Source organism: Homo sapiens, chromosome 2, assembly GCF_000001405.40.
Source record: "Homo sapiens chromosome 2, GRCh38.p14 Primary Assembly".
Taxonomy (NCBI): Eukaryota; Metazoa; Chordata; class Mammalia; order Primates; family Hominidae; genus Homo; species Homo sapiens.
Genome location: NC_000002.12, coordinates 172,846,806 through 172,867,915, shown reverse-complemented (window position 1 = coordinate 172,867,915; position 21,110 = coordinate 172,846,806). Strand labels below are relative to the sequence as shown.

The following is a 21,110-nucleotide window of genomic DNA, read 5'->3' as shown; positions in this document are numbered from 1 at the left end:
TAATATAAAAATTTATTTTCCTGATCCAAATCATCAGACTTCTTCTCTGTCACAAGAAACTTTTCCAAAATGTAATTAGGGCTCAAAGGTTCAAAATAGTTTCTTAAACATTAACTCCTTTACCTATGTAGATTGGCCTGGATGGAAATTAGCTTGTGCCTATTTAATCAGGATGAAATTGGACAAGGCCAGTGGATTTAGTTCTATCTTTCACCACATTTTAATTATGAATGCCCAACAAATAGCCATACCCTCAATCATAAATCCATTTACTCATGAAGTGTTGAAAAATTAGATGGAGTCTTCCAACCATTACCAGTTTCAACATGAGATAGATACATTTCAGATGATAAGGAATCTGTTCAGATAAGCAAAGGAGTATTCTCTTGGACCTTCATGTTCAAGGGTCAAGAGTCTCTTCTCTTGAATGATTCCTCTCACCAACTCAATTCCCTTTTCCATTCCTGTGTAGGTTAAAATATTTAAAAGTTTGTATCTCATTGACCCTATGAGATCATTCAGTTACCCCAAGGACAGTAAAAGAACTGAAGGAAACAAAGAAGCCAACTGCTTGTCTAAATAGATTTATTTATCCAAAATACAGACAGTCAAAGGTTTTTTTTATTTTTAATAAGCAGTTTTTGGCTGGGCACAGTGGCTCACACCTGTAATCCCAGCACTTTGGGAGGCCGAGGTGGGTGGATCACCTGAGGTCAGGAGTTCAAGACCAGCCTGGCCAACATGGCAAAACCCCATCTCCATTAAAAATAAAAAGAATTAGCTGTGTGTGGTGGTGGGCGCCTGCAATCCCAGCTACTAGGGAGACTGAGACACAAGAATCGCTTAAACCCAGGAAGAAAAGCAGAGGTTGCAGTGAGCCAAGATCACGCCACTGCACTCCAGCCTGGCAGCCTGGCAGCCTGGGTGACAGCAAGGCTCTGTCTCAAGAAAAAAAAAAAAAAAAGAGCAGTTTTGAGATAGAAAAGACTTTCGCATTCTAAAATTTTGGCTTAATTAGCGGGACAAATTCTATAAAGTTTACACTATAAACACTAGACTATCGAAGAATGTAAGAAGATTTTAAAGTCTGTATTTCAGCCCCAAAGGAGATCAATACAACAAAATTGGTGGTGGTAGTGATAGAACATGTTTGAGAGAGGTTTTTTGTAACAGAAGGGTAATTCAGCAAATTATTGGTTTGGGCCAGAAAAACAGGCCCACCCTCAGACTGCACCATTTTGGGGTTAAAATCCAAGTTGAGTTTGGAGTTCTGTTCTCCAAGCAGAAGGGATCTGTATCCTGCCTCCCAAAGTGAGGCCTGATCTAAGCATGGGAGTCAATAGTATGTATGTATTAACGGAAGCCACAGCAATGAATGGCATCTCCCCATTTCTCCCAAAGTCAGAAGAGTGCCCCTGAATACGACTTATATTTTAATAGTGTATAAAGAAAGATAAGCCTACAGAGACTAAGGAATAGGAGAGCACTAAAAAGCTGCAAGAAAATAATATTTCAAGAAGGGAAAGGAATCCACAATGTCAAATGCTATAGAAAAATTAAGGACTGAGGCTCTCTTTCACATTCAGAACAAGCAGGCAGGGGATGACTTTAGGTAGCCAGCTTTCTGTGGAGTGGCTGGGTTAGAATTTTAATCACCGTGGATTGAGGAGTGTCTGGGAAGGGAAGAAATGGATACAACAAATAGACAATTCCATGACAAAGATTGGCTATAAAAGGGGAGATAGAGTAGATAAAGGGGTGCAAGGGGAAGATGAAGGTTTTGTTTTGTCTTGTTCTCTTTTAAATTGGAATGGTAGAAGCCCATGTACACTCAGATGAGAAGGATCCACTGGGGATGAAAAGGTGAAAGATATAAGAAATGGAAGAAATTATGCATAAAGTAAGCATCCCAAGAGGATGAGAGTGAATGGGGTCCAGGACACAGATGAAGGGGTCACGGGAGGAAAAACCTCTTCTATCTTAACCTGAGGGACTAGAAATGGATTTGTACAAATGGACTATATATATGTATGTGTATATGTATACACACATATAAAAATATATATATACACACACACATATATATAATTGCCAGTATTTGCAATGCCTCCCTCCCTTCACTCGGAAGGAGGATAAACTGCTTATTCAACCATCTATGACTCGTCCTGATGGAGGTAAGAGGAATGGGTGGTGGGGGGAGTGGCCAACACCAAGACAGGCTAGTGTGCTCTACCCATGCAGGAATAAGAAAAGGCAGGCCAGGGTAAGAAGGCAAGGCAGATGAGTGTGGCAGCTGGTGAAGAAACAGAGGAAGAGGGCAGAGGGCAAGAAGAAACGAACTGCCACCAGGAGGAGCCAGACTTTGGGAAGAAAGACATGTAAAGATGATTTTTAGGAAATCTAGCTATATATTTTAAGACTAGTGCCCTTTTTGGTCTTGGCTGACTCCTCAAGAAACTTTCAGTAAAGACCTCCTTAGCCTTCCAAGGCTTCCTGGAGTTAGACTTGATTTCACTGTGTTGAACTGTCCACAAGGCAGTTGGTTTTATTTGGACTACGCAGGTAATTGATTTGTTGGCAGGAAGCTGAAATCTTGCATGGTAAGAGGTGAGGCTGTTTGCAAAAAGTGACCAAGGAGGTGGTTTGGTCAAGGATTTGAGGAGAGTAGAAATCTTCAAATGGGTGTTGGGGAGAAGGGTAGAAATGCATTAGGAGAATAGGTAAGGATGGCTCAGTTGTGCCGAGGGGTCCAGTGAGGTTGGCGGCGATGGATGTGCCACAGAAGCCATGTGGAAAGTGGTGTGGTTTTCTCTGGCACTGCTCAGCAGCCTGGCTGGAGGCAAGAGAAAGCCTACAACTGGACTGAGGAAGGGTTGGTATTGGACCTGGTAGGTGACAAGGGCAGGCACAGACCTGCTTCATTCATTTCCAAGTATCCAGTACGACAATGTCCGAAGCACAGGAGTCACTCCATAAATCTTTTGGATTTTGTTTCTGTTTTGTTTGTTTTTGAGACAGAGTCTAACTCCATGGCCCAGGCTAGAGTACAGTGGCATGATCTAGGCTCACTGCAACCTCTATCTCCCAGGTTCAAGCAATTCTCTGGCCTCAGCTTCCTGAGTAGCTGGGACTACAGTCACGTGCCACCATGCCTGGCTAATTTTTGGCATTTTTTGTAGAGACAGGGTTTTGCCATGTTGGCCAGGCTAGTCTCGAACTCCTAGCCTCAAGTGATCCACCCACCTCAGCCTCCCAAAGTGCAGGGATTACAGGCGTGAGCCGCTGTGCCCGGCCAATAACTCCTTACTGAATGAATGATTGGGAGAACCAGTAATATGGACAAGAGGGTGATTGAAATGATAGGCAATGGTATCCAAACTGAACAGGGAAGGAAGTGAAGACAAGGGGGACCTAAATCGGGGGACGTACACTGGAGGTTCCTCAGGTCTACCCAGTCAAGAGCCGAATCCCAGACTCAAGAGACAACTTCTCTGAGGCTGAAGCACCCCCTGGTGGCTGATCCAGGGAGCCATGAAGCCCAATGTTCTTTCCCCTCAAGAGCAAAATGCACACCTTTTTGTGTTCCTCCTTCAATGTCCAGTGCTCCCTTCATTGCCCTTTGACCTCCTTCTCACTCATACTTTAAACCTGCTGTTTTTCCTCTCAACTTTTGCCCCAGCTACCTCAGGTATCTCTCTCACTACCCGCCTTTTTCTCTCATCCTCGTTTGTGAAAACAACCCAAATCATGGCAGATATGGGTAAAGGTAGAACCCATGATATGCCTGAAATAAGGACAGGAAAATCCTACTTTTCATAATGAAAGAAGTCAATGTCTCAAAGTCAGTGAAGGCAGACACAAATTTTAAAAGAGTCACAACCCATACATATCATCTTGTAGTTAACCCTGAACACTAGCATTCAAAATATTTTCTATCCTGGTGATTATTGCTTCTATTATGCTTTAATTATTGCTTACTGCTTATATAGTCATTGCTTAATATTGCTTATATATGCTTTAATTATTAACATGAAAAGTGGTTTTGCTATTAATTTTTATTGCAATTGTACATGACTTTGACCCGAGGGTGGGTTGGGTAGACTTTTGAAAAGGAGCCTAAATATGTTTACAACATCGCTCCTATAAAGGGCTTGCAAATGAACTTGTGGAAAACAACCTTTTTGCCAGTTGGGGGTTTGGTATAATTTTGATTCTTGCTTGAATTTCCTTAAAAATCACAATAAGTTATTTAGGGAATAACAGTTGCCAAACTTTCTGACAAATCATAATGAATGGTTATGTTCTGAAAGGTCAACTAGCCATCTTTTGGCTCCCATTTCCTCTTTAAAACCGAGCTATTTTGAGAATTTCCATTCCTCGTGCTCTTTTTTCTTCCCAACCCTGACACTATTTGTATCCCCTCAGTGGCATTTTTTAACTCAGGAAAACTTAAATAAGTTCCAAGATTGCAGAAGAGCCTTATTATTTGATGATTGTGGGTCTTGTCTGGGAAAAACTCCAAACATAGATTTGCCATTTTAAGCAATTCCTTTGAATTCTCATTCTATTGTCAGCAATAGCTCTATATTATTGGTTTATCATTGATTTTTCCCTTTCCCTTTACATAAGTTAACTAGAGCACTCCAATTTCCTCTTCTCTCTTACTTTTCTTAGTTTATAAGTCCCTGAAATACTGTATTGTTCTAGCTTTTTGATTTTTAGAGAACACACACACACATTAGACTTTGCCATAATCATAAACCCATCATTTTTTCACTCCTCACTATGATTCTTTCTTCTTTGTCACCCTATTTTAATACAATCTGCTGCCATATTCTGTCATGTTCCCTTTTGAAATATATTTCAGATTCATCTTTTCCCCCTCATTCCCACAGGCACCATCCTGTCTCAGGTCATATTCTTATCAAAGGTACTGTTCCACCCTTCTAGCCAGCTTTCCTGCCATCCTACTCAGTCCCCCACCTCCCCTGTGCTCCACTGCACACTCAGTCCACGGGGTAAATGATACTACTATATCCTGTGAGGGCAGGAGAGCACCTCCTAACACCCAGGTACATCTCTTCTCTTAATTCCTGTATGATGAATGTTACTTTCTTCATTTCACAAAGGAGGAAACTTCCTCTCCCAAGAGATTAGGTATTTTGTCCCAAACCACCTAACTTGCAAGTGTTCAAGTCACTAGCCCTCAAATCTGAAGAGGGAGGGTGATCTGTGTTGCAACAGAAAAATTAAGCATCTCCATAACAAGGATTTAATATTTAATACCTTTAAAGTCAAGGAACTAGACAGACTTGCCGTTATCATATCAAGGGCAATAGTTTTCAAGAGATGGGATTTATAAGAGAAACGTATAAATCCAAGTGTCTGCTCTCAAAGAGTTTTTAATCTAGTTGGTTACAGCATGTATCTAGAACATGCTAGATACACAGCAAATGCTAAATAAACACTTGCTGAAGTTGGGACCAGAGAATGGAAGGTGAGCCCTTGCTGCTGTCTCTGCTCAGCTTGCCACTAATTGTACTATTTAGTCATAGGATGCTTCTTAATATAAAATGCTCTCTCTGACACTTCCTTCTGACCCGGTCCCAAAGAATATCAGAACAATACACTGTTAAGAAAAAAGGCACTGAGATTACTGGGCTGCCTTCCAAACTGCAGGGGCCAATTTATTTTTTCCTAACTACAAGATAATTATTGCTGGATATTATTATGGGATTTTTCCATATGTCCTTTAGTTAGGACAGTGATGACCGAATGCTGCCTTTTAATGTACTCTGATCTCCTGCCAGCTTACCTCATTCTACCACTTTGTCTTTGGTTTTTATTTTTGTGATTATTCAAACTTCCCATCGCCTAATCAATACCTCATTTGGCCATTGCCGCTGTTGACAACACACTTCGACAAAGACTCTTTGAAAAGGGTCTTTTTTGCTGGCAGTGGGCTCATTTAAAGCAAGTTCTTGCTACGTGCATCATTTTGGCAAACAAGGACAAGTTCAAGGAAATTAGAGGCCAAACTTGACAGAGCACTGGGTGCAGCTGCTGGCCCAGCTGTGCAGTGATTCTCAACTGGTCCATTACCTCCAAAACTCAACTATTCAGCACAGCTTCCCTAGTCCAGCACTCCTGTCGGTCTAATATATTTGGCAACAGCCATTATTTCAGAAATGAATGCTCATGTGTATTTATAGAAAATCACATGCCTGCTCTATCAACAATTAAACAGATTAAGATTCAGCAGACATATTCCTCTAATTAGGACAAGATGGAAGACATAGTGTATAGAACCCTGCAGTTTGGTCAAGGTTTATTCTTTCCTAACAAGACTGCCATACTACATTTCATCAGTCAAACACCTAGGCTCGCCAGGGACACCATCTTCCTGGTATAGCATTCACTTCCTGTGTCTGCCCCATGGAATTTTCAGTCAGGGGATTCTATTTGCAACTGGCACTTCAAGATACCCCCTTTTCCCTCCCTCTAACCACACTATAGGATCAATGGACTGTTTTAAGGCTTGTTTTGAAATAACATGTGGACAGCATCATGTGGTCACTAATTTCATTCAGTTACACCCTTCCCCTGAGCCTCAGTGTATGCTGTATGCTCACACTTAAGTAGTGTCTCCTCTGAACAAAAGCCTGATCACACTGTCTGGGCCATAAATTCCATCTTGCTTCGCTCTTGCCCATGCATTATTTAAGCAATCTTCTCGGTGAGCCGGCATGAGAATTTCCCTCAGAGCAACAATCAGCAGGCGCTTTAAGCCCTGTTCTAACGGGAAATGTAGGATATCTCAGAGAGTTCCACCCATTCATAGTCTCGATAATGAAATATGATAATCTAATTTGGTAAAAATAAACTGTGAAATCAGAGATTTGAGGCAAAAACTTTAAAGATGCAATTCAGACTAGCAATCAATGCTCATTCAGTTTCTGTACCATCTCAGCTTTCTCCTTGTGCAGATGCTTAAGTGATGCTAAATTAAATAATTGACAAATTTTTAAAACTGCTGAAAATTACCATCTGTACTTAATTTTGGAATATAAAAAGGTCCATAGAAAACACCCTTTATGATTATTTTGTCTAATAACAGATATGAAACAATACAAACATCCCAGTCATAAAATATAATGCGTTTCTAGCAGGCTGGCTTTACATATTTAAACATAGTTTTTCAAAACAAAAGACCACAGGAGGAGTGAAATGCTGGGTGACAAATACATTTTTTAAAAAAACAATTGCCAAATAACTGAGTTTTTCATTTCAGATCTACTCCTCTAACCCTTCACTTCCCCGTAAAACAAAACCAAAAAAAAAAAAAAAACCCAAATAAACAAAACTCACGCACAGGCTTCCTGCAGACAGTTATGACAACCATTACTTTTTTTTACATTTCTCTCCTGGATAAACACTGGGTTAAACTGTTCTCTGTTAAGAACTTTATTAGGTTGATATTACATTTACACAAAATGAAGTCTACTTCTGTAAATAAACATGCTTGAGGCTTCCATGAAAACACAGAGAAGAGAAACAAGCTCCCTGTATATGTGAACACACTGCTAAATACATGGATAAAACAAGCTGAAACTTACACCAGACACTTCTCCCAGGTCCACCACGGCAGGAGCCCTAGGGGTACATTCTAGTTTTTTTTAAATCCATGTTCTCCTCTTCTCACTGATGGGACTACTCAGGCAACATGGTCAAGTTGCAATCAGCTTCTCCCTTAGTGATGTATGAGAGCTGGACTGATTTATCTTGGCTTTTCTGCAGCATATTAGCACTAATGTTTCTGCGTATGCATCCTACCTTTCTTTAGCCGTAGCCCCGGCTTTATCATTGGTAATCTAAATTAAAGAGCCAGTGAACAGAGCAGGGTTGTTGTCCCCCACCCCTCCCTGTTTTCCATGAAACAATTGCCAGGCAGTCACTCCCGGACAAGGATTCCACTGTTTATTCTACCGAGCCTCCTCTTCAATATTCCATTGAGACAGGAAGTCAGAGTCGCAAAAGGATAGGTCCAGCAAGACTGTCTTAGTTCAAAGGTATATTTATGATTTATGCTCGAAAACAGTAGATGGCCTCAGGAAATACTAGAGAGAGCTGTCATTTACCAGTTTTTCAGCCCAGAATTCAGAATCGACACTATTTATAAAAACAGAGCAACTTGATACTTCACCTTACTGCCCAGGGTGCACTTTACCTTCAGGGCACTCTTTCTGAGAAATCTCTTCCTTTTTCCACCAATATTTGTTTTATATACACATGCTTAAATGTTTATTTTAATGAGCTATATTGAGCTATGACTTAGCAAGTTCCATACAAAGAATAAAATGCTATAAAAATTTGGGCAGATCCATCAAACAAATCATTATTAACCTTGTTGCAACCTGCTATCAACAAACAGCAGCTGAAGCAGGAGCTAAAGGCTGTATTTAATTCATGAGCTGTCAATTCCTTTCTTTAAAACATGTTTAAAATCTTCTCAACCTCCACAAATGTTTGGGAAGAGGAAATATATCAGAGTACATTTTCATATGAAAGTTTTTAATATCTTGAAAATGTTGCTGCCTTAGCAGCACCTCAATGCTTTTTAAACTCAGATTTACAATGATTACTGAAGTAATATTAGGTTTATTTTCTCATTTTATTCAGCAAGACTTAAACCACTGTTAAGCAACAGAATTTGATGGATAACAAAGCATACCAAGTTTCATCTCTATTTTTGTGTATTTTGTTAAGGGAATACATGATCATTTTCATAATTTTAAACATGTTATTGCATTTTAAATTTTGCTTATTAAAATTAACAAATTTAACACACCCATTTTCATGTAGGCATAAAATACAGACTTGTCATTTTAAATAGCTTTATATATTCATTTCCCTAATCCTAATGACATCTGCATTTCTTCAATTTTTCATTATAAAATAAAATGTCTCATCAGAAATGCTAAATACTCACATTTCAGGTTCTTCCCCAACCGCACCCCCCAAAAACAGAAAAAGGCAATCTCAAACTTTATGCTTCTCAGCGTTTTTCAAAATTTCAGTCAGGAGAAATAACTTGAGAGGGCTGATTAGAGACTATTCAGGGTATCAGTTCTTCTTAGATTATATCACTTGGGTAAACTTTAAAAACATATATTGATTTCTGTGCTCTAAAACTTGGTTATACTTAACTGCTCCACAAACATCCAGATAAATTATTTTAAAAATTTAAATCTGGGCTTGTCACTCGGCTGCTTAAAACTCTGCATAGCTTCCCATTACTCTTAGGCTGAAAGCCAAATCTTTATCATGGCCTTCAATGACTCAGTTTTATTTCACTGGGAAGATAAGCCCACCTTCCCAGAACTGACTGGCTGGCATTCAGAACCATCAATCAATCAAGTATTGAGTCCCTGCTCTTTATGGGCCGGTCACTGGAGTATGGTATCCGAGCACTGGTTTGGGATGCTGAGAGAATTCCAGGAGCACATACACAGGCCTTCTCCTTCAGTTTGAAAGTAACATACATGAACAAGATTTTACTACTCTACAAATCAGCTTATGAACTATGACAAAATCAAAAAGAGCAAGCCAGACTTTGAAAATACATCATAAAGATAAAATCAAGGGGTAAGAGGAATACGATGAAATTAATAATTTGGTAAATGTTAATTCAAACTGACTTAGGCTAGATGAGAAAAAGGGAAACAGTCAAGAAGGAGCATAAACTCAAAAACAAGAATTGCTCAAGCCTGGTCTTGTTGTTAGGCTTTGAAAGTCATGACTCACATCAGCTAAATTACATTTTTAAAAGTTTACTATTTATCCATAACTGTGGTTCTGAGTGTTTTCAACAAATAACTCATATATGTTCATTACATTACTGTGGATATTACCTTCCTCTAAAAGTTCTCTTTATTTTAGTCACTAAAAGAATCACATAATAAACTTCACCAGTTTCCTTTTTTTTTTTTTTTTTTTTTTTTTTTTTTTTTTTTTTTTTTTTTTTTTTTTTTTTTGAGACAGGGTCTTGCTCTGTCAGTCAGGCTGGAGTACAGCCGTAGGTCATGGCTCGCTGCAGTCTCAGACTCTCCAGGGCTCAAGTGATCTTCGCCACCTCAGTCTCCCAGGTATCTGGGACTGCAGGCACGCCACCACACCCAGCTAATTTTTGTACTTTTTGTACACATGGGGTTTTGCCATGTTTCGCAGGCTGGTCTCAAACTCCTGGGCTCAAGTGATCCTCCCACCTCAGCCTCCCAAAGGGCTGGGATTATGGACATGACACCTGGCCTATTTCACCAGTTTCTATGTAAGATGGCCCAAGCCAAGATCACAGGACTCTGAAAATAGGGATTTTCATAACTAAAGATCTACTTTGTAGTTAACCAAGAGCTCATGATCCTTGAATGCAACTTGTATATAAACTCGCGTCTCAAATAATGTATACACCGAAAGACATATGAAGTATCCACTGAGTAATGAGATCTTGGGATGAGTCTGGTGCATAAGGAATTGACACCATAAGGCCCTATACGTTCCAGAATATTTTGTAGACTTCCTTCCATTGTCCTGAAAATTCACACCATTAAAAGCTCCCATTGGAAGAAATCCTAAGACTTGGATTTGCCTGTCTTCAAATCATGGTTCTGCCACTTACCAGCTGTATGACCTTGGGCAAAGTACTAAGACTCGCTCTGTGTGTGTGTGTGTGTGTGTGTGTGTGCGCGCGCACACGCGCGTATTTTAAATTCACCTGTAAAGTGGGATAATAGAGTTCTGCTTCTGGTCACAAAAGTAATTCAATTCAGGCCAGCTCTCCCACAGATAACAATTATAAGTCCTGGATAAAATATTTAAAAACAATAATAAAATTATCTGAAGGCAGTGGAGAATGACTGAGAACAGGCAGAAATAAAGGCGGGCGGGGGGTGGGTGCTGACACTTAGAAGAATGGCACTTGATAAATTACCCAATTTTTATAACTTTTCATCTAAGGACAAGGCCCAGTCAGTTCCACAGTGTGGCCAGAGTCAGATAAAAGCCTGTAGTCTTCCTGGTTGAGAAACCAGAGGACAGAGTTCAGGGAAATGATAGCAGCTAGAAAATAAAGGAGGAAATCCTAGAGAGAAGACAGCCACAGAGGGAAAGCCCCAGATTGACTACATGAGATCTGACCAAATCTCTGACTGATCCCAGTACTATACATATGTGAAGCAGACTCCAAGCCACTCAGTTAAGGAGAAAGAACTGAACAGAGATGTCTGCTGCTGTCTCAGGGAAGATGAAATTGGAATTTGAGTTTTGCCAAGTTAACTGCCTACAAAAACAGAAAATCAATACTCTTTAAAGGCATATGACAGTATTCAGAATCTCTATAATATATCACTCACAATGTCCAGAGTACATTCCAAAATTACTACACATGCAAAGACACACAAAAAAATAACCCATCCTCAAAAGAAACCAACCAAAAGAGACCAACTCTGAGATAATTCAGATATTAGAATTAACAAAGACTTTAAAGCAGCTATTATAACTAAGTGCTCAAGGACATAAAAGAAATCTCAGCAGAGAAGTACAAGTTATTAAAAAGTAACAAGTGAAAATTCTAGAACTAAAAAACACAGTATCTGAAAAAAATTCACTGAATTGACCCAATAACAGATTGGAAAAATAATAATAAAATGTGTCAGTGAACTTAAGGATAGAACAATAGAAATTAACCAATCTGAAGAACAGAGAAAATTCTTTTTAATGAAGAAGGCCTTAGGGATCAATGGGATATAACAGCATATGTATAACTGGAATTCCAGAAGGACAAGAAGACAGAGAATAGACAGAAAAAATATTTAAAGAAATAATACCTCAAATTTCCCAAAATTTGGTTAAAAAACGATATAAACTTAAAAATTCAAGATTCTCAGAAAACCCCAAACCAGATTAATAAAAAACAAAACAAAACAAAGACCCATGCCAAGGCACATCATATTCAAACTATTAAAATTCAAAGATAAAGAGAGAAACTTAAAAGCAACCAGGGGGAAAATGGCATACTATGTATAGGAGAAAACTATATTAGTAGTAACTTTCCATCAAAATTCACAGAGAATAGAAGATAATGGAATGACATCATTAAAATACCAACAGGAAAACAACACTTGTCAAGCTAGAATTCTATTTGTCAAGCTAGAATTCTATATCCAACAAAAATATTCTTCAACATTGGAGGCCAATGAAGACATTTTCAGAAAAACAAAACCTAAGACACTTAATCTCCAGCAGACCTGCATTACTTGAAACATTGAAGAAAGCTCTCCAGAATGAAGGTAAAAGACACCAGATGGTTAGCCAGATCTATAGGAAGGAAAGAAGATCACTGGAAATGTCAATATGTGGGGAAATATGAAAAACAGACAGACACACACATACTTTAAAAATATTACTTAAAAATATTACTTGTATTACAGGCAACCATTGAAATAAAAATTCTAACACTGTATTTTGGAGTTTATAACACAGATAGGTATAATATCATCAACAATAACATAAAGCATTGGGAGGGCAATAAATGGAATTATACCATTTCCAGGTTCAGTATTTGACATGAAGCAGTACAATATGAATTCTAAGTGGAATGTGAAAAGTTAATAGATGTGGTAATCCCCAGAGCAACCATTAAAAATTAATGCAAAGAGATACAATTGAAAAGCCAATGGAAAAATTAAAATGGAATTTGTGGCAGCCATGAAGGTGCCTACTTCTAGAAGTAAAAGATCTACTTCTAGAAGGATCTCCCTTCTAGAAGAAACTTGCCAATCAGCTGTGAAGAGTACAGCTAGCTGACAGCATCCAACTGCAGTGATTTTTAGATCTACTGTGAGTGAATCAAAGCTATGTTCTTTAAAGTTAGTCAATGATAAGCATGGTAGGGAGGGCCATCATTTCTGCCCAATGCAAAACTTGTTTACAAGCAATTTTTGCATTAATACTCTCCATCGGGCTTGCAGAGACATTCTCAAAACTGTGCTGCAGTCTGAGGCTCTTTCTCTTTCATCCTCATTCCTTCTGCCCCTTTCACAGGTAACAAACTCTCTCTTTCACCTCTCTATTTTTGTTGGCCTTGCATCCAATAAAGCTCTTGTACTTATAACTCAATCTTGGTATCTGCTTCCTAGGGAACCAAACTAATGTAGAATTCTATAAAAAAATTAATTAATCCAAAATAAGGCAAGAAAGGAAGAGAGAGGAATAAAAAAGCATATGGAACAACAACAACAACAAAAATAGCAAAATGGTAAACCTAAATCCAATCATATAAATAACTACATTAAATGTAAATGGACTAAACACTCCAATTAAAAACAGAAATTGTCAGAATGGATAAAAAAAGCAAAATTCATCTATATGTTCTTTATACCTTTTATATACAAAGAAACAGATAGTTAGAAAATAAAAGCTTGGAAAAATATACACCATGAAAACAGAAAGCATAAGAAAACCACAGTAACTATATTAATATCCTATGAATTAGATTTGAAGGCAATAGAGTATCACCAGACAAAAGAGATGAATTTTATAATGATAAAAAGGGTAATTCACCTAAAAGAAATAAAAATAATAAATGCATACATGCCTAATAACAAAATGTTAAAAAGCAAAAAATTAAAAAAATTATTGAAGAAAAAGACAAATACTTGGAGATTCTAATACTGTTCTCTCAATAATAGTTAGAATAAGATGAAAAAATCAGTGGGGACATATAAGACCTGAACATCACTACCAACTACATTGACCTAATTGACATTTAAAAAATACTACACCCAACAGCTGCAGAATGCACATTCTTTTCAAGTGTGCATGATAGATTTACCAAGATAGGAATACCTTGGTAAATATAAAGAAATCTCAACAGTGAAATATAAGTTATTAAAAGGTACTGAGCGAAAACCCTAGTGTGCTATAAATAAGTCTAAACAAATTTCAAAAGACTGAAATCCTAAAAAATATGTTTTCGGACCACAATTTAATTAAACCAAAAATCAATACCAACAAGATATGTAGGAAACAAAATATTTGGAAACTGACAACACAGTTCTAAAGAACCCATGGGCCAAAGAAGAAATCATAGGGGAAATACACAGTATTTTGAACTGAATGATAATGAAAATGTAACATATCAAAATTTGTAGAAAACAAAGCAGTGCTTAGAGGAAATTTATAGCTTTAAATGTTTATAGTAGAAAGGAAGAAAGGTATAAAAGCGATGACCCAAGTTTCCATCTTTAGAAGCTAGAAAAAAAAAGAACAAATTAAACCCAAAGTAAAGAGAAGGAACGAAGGAATTTTTTTAAGTCAGAAATCAATGAAATAGAAAACAGAAAGTCAACAAAAACATTAAAAATAAACAAAAGTTGGTTCTTTGCAGTGTATCTGCAAATCCTGATACACTGAAAAGATGATAACTATAATAAACAACTCTATGTCAATACATTTGAATGCTTAGATAAAACAGACAAATTCCTTCAAGAATACAATTTACCAAAATTGACACAAGATGAAATTAAAAATCTTTAATAGTGCCATATCTATTAAAGCAATTGAATGTGTTATCAAAATCCTCATAAAGAAAACTCTAGTACAAATGGTTTCATGGTATTCTATCAAATATTTATGGAAAAAATAATATCAATCCTACATGACTTCTTCAGAAAATGAAGGAGGATGGGACAATCCCCAACCATTTTATGAAGCCAGCATAATCCTGATACCAAAATCTAATAAAAATACTATAAGAAAAAAATTGCTATGAACATAGACACAAACATCCTTAACAATTACAGCAAATATCAGCAAATCAAAGCTAGCAATATATATCAATAAAAAGGACAATCATTCTTTTTACATAATAGAGTTTTTACATAACAAGTAGAGTTTATTTCAGGAATGTAACACTGTTTTAACATTAAAAAATCAACCCATGTAATGCACCATATCACTAGAATAAAAGAGAACAAACATGTGGCTCTTACTAATATGTTCAGAAACAGCATTTGACAACATTTAATATCAATGTGTGATTTTTAAAAAAACTCTCATCAAATTAAAAATAAAAAGATATGTCTTTAATATACAGTTAAAAATAATATTTAATGATGAAATATTGAATGATTTTCCCCTAAGATCAATGACAAGGAAAGGATGTCCATTATCACCACTTCTATTCACCCCTGTGCTGGTGGTCCTTGCCAGTGTGATAAGGCAGGAAAAATAAGTCAGAGGCATAAAGATTAGAAAGAAAGAAGTAAGATTCCCATTATTGGCACATAACATGATTTTTTGTATAGAAGAATCACAAGGAAGTTGAAACAGGGTAACACTAGTAATACCTACCTCATATAGTTGTTAGAAGGATTAAATGAGTTTAAATTTGATGTGTTTAAAACTCTACCTGATACAAGTAAGCACTATATAAGAGTTAAGTAAAGTTAAACAAATCTAAATATAAAATCTGAGAAGGGTTACGTTTCGGATCAACTTATTGACAATTCATCAAAATTGACAATTCATTAGCTTAAGAAGCCTTAAGGAAGATAACCTGAAAGAATAAGGAAGGTTATCTTCATCCTGGGGCTCATGTTATGAAAACGTTCAGGGAAAGTAACACTAGATGCCTAGAATATGACCAGTCCTCACTGACATTCCTAAAATAGAAAGATGAAATGTGCTACAATGTGGTGACACTGTCTGCAGAGTTACTGCTTTCATATATGATCTAATATGTCTATACAGTTACACAAACAAATCCAGGAGTTATTTTTAATGAGCACATAACTTGTTGTGATCTATAAATATTCATGGCAAAATATCCATGAAAGACATTGAAGTAAAAAGTCAGTTTGCATAATCGTATTTACAGCATAATTCAATTTTTAAAAACTTTTATTTTAGTTTCAGGGGTACATGTACAAGTTTGTTCTATAGATAAATTGCAAGTCTCGGGAGTTTGATGTATATATTATTTCATCACTCAGGTAATAAGCATGGTACCCGACAGGTACTTTTTTAATCTTCACCTTCTTGCCACCCTCCTACCCTCCACCTTTAAGTAGGCCCTGGTGTCTATTGTTCCCTTCTTTGTGTCCATGTGTTCTCATTGTTTAGCTCCCACTTATAAGTGAGAACATGGCAGTGTTTGGTTTTCTGTTCCTGTGTTAGTTCACTTAGGATAATGACCTCCAGTTCCAACCATGTTGCTGCAAAGAACACTATCTCATTCTTTTTTATGGCTGTGTAGTATTCCATGGTGTATATGTACCACATTTTCTTTTTCCAGTCTATCTTTGATGGGCATTTAAGTTGATTCCATGTCTTTGCTATTGTGAATAGTGCTGCGATGAACATACATGTGCATGTGTCTTTATAGTCGCTCGATACTTGACCAAATAGGCCTAACGGACAGCTACAGAACTCTCCACCCCAAAACAACAGAACTTACATTCTTCTCATCTGCACGTGGCATATACTCTAAAATTGACCACACAATCGGCCATAAAACAATGCTTAGCAAACTCAAAAAAACAAATCATACCAACCACACTCTTAGACCACAGTGCAATAACAATAGAAATCAATACCAAGAAGATCACTCAAAACCATAAAATTACATGGAAATTAACCCGCTTCTGAATGAGTTTTGAGTAAACAATGAAATTAAAGCAGAAGTCAAGAAATTCTTTGACACTATCGAGAACAAAGATACAACATACCAGAATCTCTAGGACACAGCTAAAGCTGTGTTAAGAGGAAAGTTTATAGTGCTAAACACTCGTAACAAAATGTTAGAAAGATCTCAGATTAACAACCTAACACCACACCTTAAGGAACTAGAAAAGCAAGAGTGAACCAACCCCAAAGCTAGCATAAGACAAGAAATAACCAAAATCAGGGCTGAACTGAATGAAAATGAGATGCAAAAAACCATACAAAAGATCCCTGAAACCAGAAATTGGTTCTTTGAAAGAATTAATAAGATAGATAGACTGCTAGTTAGACCAATAAGGAAAAAAAGAGAGAAGATCCAAATAATTCAATTTTTAAAGCAACAAAAGAGGTACGTACATAATAATTACATTGATGTGTCCATAGAAAAATGTCTGGAAGTACACAGACAAAAGTGTTAATAGTAGATAGTTCTGGCTAGTGGGAGTGGAGAAAATTTTTCTTTACTTTATATAAAATTTACTTGCATTTTAAATAATATCTGTTAATTTTTTTTTTTTTGAGACAGAGTCTCGCTCTGTGGCCCAGGCTGGAGTGCAGTGGCATGATCTTGGCTCACTGCAAGCTCCGCCTCCCGGGTTCATGCCATTCTCCTGCCTCAGCCTGCCAAGTAGCTGGGACTATAGGTGCCCGCCACCATGCCCGGCTAATTTTTTAATATTTTTAGTAGAGATGGGGTTTCACCGTGTTAGCCAGGGTGGTCTTGATCTCCTGACCTTGTGATCCACCCACCTCGGCCTCCCGAAGTGCTAGGATTACAGGCATGAGCCACCACGCCTGGCCTGATATTTTTACTTTTTAATTTAAAAATGTTACAAACCTAACTAAAGCAAAAAAATTGACATTTAAAAGTAATGATTTTTTTTCTGAGTCAAATAAGATGAAAAGAATTTTTCCTTTGTTTCCTTTAAACAAAGGTAAATTTTTATTTTAGACATCAAGATCATATTCCAGATGCTTTTATCTTTAAGATTCTCAGCATCCCCACGCCCTCCACTCCAAGTAGGAAATAGAAGAAAACATGGGTCAGGTCAAATTAAAGGGTCAGTCTATCCTTAGCTACACAGGCTCATCAAAACTGAGAGCACGAAGAGGGCAAAGGTCTTGATTCCCCTGTGAGCCTGTCTGCTTACTTCTAACTCTTGCCTTCTGACTGCACCATGACTCCAGGAACTGGTTTCCCCAACTCCTATCTGTGGATCCATGGAGACCAGTAGAGAGGCACATGGACCAAGGACAATCCATCACCATTGAAAGCACAGCATTTTAGTAAGAATAACCTTAGATAATGTTTAATTCATCTACAGACAAGCAATTTTCAGGTAAGGAAACTGGAGTCCAGAAAAATGAAGCAACTTGCCCAAGGGCGCACAGTCACTAAGAGATCTTAGTGGTCTAAGCAGGTCTCCCAAGCATCAAGATAGTGTCTTTTCCATTATGACTGAGAAAGGACAGAAAAGGGCATGTCCTATTAATAATGTTGGACCAGTGGCTGTGCCTTCGTGTACAAAGATAGTAAATTAGGATGCAGGCTAAACAAGGCCCTGAAGAGAGCAATCTTCCTGACTTTCTCATACTGCCCCAAATTGTAGTGCAAACATAAAAAACTGGCTCTGTTATTCTTTTACTTTCATTACTGATATTCCATATGATATACACTTTCTCTACAAACAATCCCTGAGAAAAAAGAGAGAATTTTCCCTATTTGAGATTTGCCTTCTGGCCACATCATTCAGAGATGCTTTTAGTATGTAACTAACACTAATAAAGGGCTCTTATTAGAATGTTTTCTGCATTTTGTTTATAGGAAATAGGAAAGCTGGAGATATTTAAACTAATGCAATGTGTTCTATTATGTTCTGTCATATTGTTTTTTATAGTGAGAACTATAAATCAGTTTCTAAGGTTTTGGCAGTAAACCAATGATTAAGCTCTGGAATTACATAAAATCAATAAATCAGAGACTGACTGAATCAAGTTGTCTGGCAAACTTGTCCAGACCATAAAGAAATCCCTCATACCTCTCTGCTAAAAAAAAAAAAAAGAAAAGCTCCCAGAGAACAGCCATTATTCTTATCTATTTATCAATGTAAGTTTTCTAAAGCCCTCTGCTATAGATGGTTATTTATTAACACTGATTAATGGTTATAATACACTCAGAATTATAAAAATGGTCTCCTTTAGTCAACATCACCTTTTTTTTCACTAATTGAGCCTTCTAACTTATTGTAAGCTCCTCTGATGCATTAGAAATATGATTCAATTACATACACCCTTGAATTTGCAGGAAGATATCTTGGTACCTGCATTCCTTATAAGAAGCTGAAGTGGGTGCTGAGAGGCAGGCCTCTTGCTGGACTCGAAGGCTGTTCACACATGCTATATTCCCACCCCTCCCCCAGATACTTCCTTGCTAATGATTTTCTAACACTGAAGCTTTGTAAAACTTTGATCTTTTGTGAAAACTCTGTAAGATGATAAAAATCTTCCAGCTGAACAAACAGACTAGGGCGGAAAGACCACCCCCTTAGCAAAGACCATCCCCTTAGCATTTGCCCTGACTCCACCCCAGTGTTTCATTAAAGTGGTATCTTTCAAAATATGCAGATGACACAGTAACACTTTGAACAAACAAACGAATTATGTGAGCCTCTACAGGCAATTTACTCAAGGTAATTAAGGATGCTAAACCAAACAAATTATCATTTTAAATGGCAAGTAAATTTTAATTAAACTTAATTTCTATACTAAAAATGAAACTACCAGCTCAACAGAAGGGATCTAGTGTGAATTAACAGGCAAAGCGTCAAGAAGGGGCTGGCGGGGGAAGAATGTATACCTTGACTTTTGATTCACAAGATTAGAACCAGGTGTCACTGCACTGTCATTGGACACTGGCTCAGGGAGAAGTGCCCTGCGCGTGAGTTTAGAATGTATAGAACATATTTGGGGTGTCTCAAGCATGAGTACATTTTAAGTGGTAAAATTGCTAATCAATAACAAAATCAACTAAAACCCAAGGTAGTTTCTTTCCAACTAGACTCTCAATCTTTGTCTTCCATTATGAAAAGGAACCCAGAAAGCTACTGCCCGCCCCAGAGATTAAGAGTCCTTCTGTAAGGAGTTGGGAGATGTGGAGATCCCTAGTAGAATGTCAACAGAGTATGATATGACCACCACTCATGAAATAATTGTGTATGATGGACCACATCCATGGGCCCCAATCAATAACCATGAAAATAAACATGAGAAAGACCACCAGAGTTGTCCCAAGATGACAAGGCTAACACATGGTCCTATTAAAGTAGATTACACCTTCAGAATAAATAATCTTAAAAATAATTATAGTCTCTTAAAAGTTTCACGTAATCCCTGGAACTAAACTACGTCCCTGCCCTTTTACATGTTTTGTCCCAATAAGGTAATGGGACTCTGATTAGACTCCAGCCACCAGTACTGGCCACCAATAAAGCCCTCAAAGAACCACCTGCTTTCTTCTCCACATGAAACACCTTGCCTGCTTCAGCATTCAGGGTCTTCCCACTTCCACCTTCAGCCCAGTGTCCCACAGGAATACACACGATGCGTCCTGTCCCCTTCAGTCCCGGCTTTCTGGTCAGGTGAGATGTCCCAGGGCAGGAGCCAAGGAGGAGGCTGAGAGCATGAGCCAGGTGGTGGCAGGGTGGAACGGGAGGAGCCTGAGCACAGGCTGGGGAAGCCATGCTGTCACCATCTCTGGCATCTGGGTACAGTCACCCTGCCACGCAAGACCATTTTCATATTGTTTCCCTAAATAGTCTGCTCTCAGGGTGACCCTAGGAGCACTATTAAGATATTTGTGACAGTGTTAAGAAGTCTGTGTCAAGCTTGTGTTCCAGGAAGCAGTGACAACTTCAGATTGCTGTATTTTCTCTTCTGTACCTGTGCCTGCAGTCTAAAGAGGCAACCCTGCAACCGCTAACTCTGGAACTAGAGAAGGAAGAACACTGCCCCTAGAAACGAAGAGACCAGAAGAGGCCCGTATGTCCCCAATTCTTATATTTGCTCCTGATTCTTGCCAGAATGGTATTCAATCATCCATTAATTCATCAAACAACCACTGGGCACCTTCTACACGCCAGGCACTGTACTAAGCTCCATTCCATCCTCAGGTTGCTCACATTCCAAAGGGAGGAGAGACATGCAAACAGGCAATTCCAAAAACACGTGCTGGAAACTCATGATGGAATGGCAGTGCCTGGGAGGAGCACAGAGCATCTGTGGAGGGGCATAGTCAGGGGAGCAGACTGAAAAACCTGCCTGTGACCAAACAT

The 21,110-nt window shown here is 38.0% G+C and overlaps 1 protein-coding gene across 27 annotated transcripts in view; it reads right to left on the bottom strand.

Moving 5' to 3' along the window:
• Positions 1–21,110, bottom strand: part of RAPGEF4 (Rap guanine nucleotide exchange factor 4) — a 317,576-nt gene that overhangs the window by 184,978 nt on the left and 111,488 nt on the right. For 2 of the 27 annotated variants that reach the window (NM_001282899.2, NM_001282900.2), the window contains exon 1: positions 7,617–7,774. The exons of the other annotated variants lie outside the window; for them this stretch is intronic. The gene's annotated coding sequence lies outside the window, so the exon portion shown is untranslated. Of the gene's footprint in view, positions 1–7,616; positions 7,775–21,110 lie in introns of those variants that run through there. 27 annotated transcript variants of the gene reach the window in all.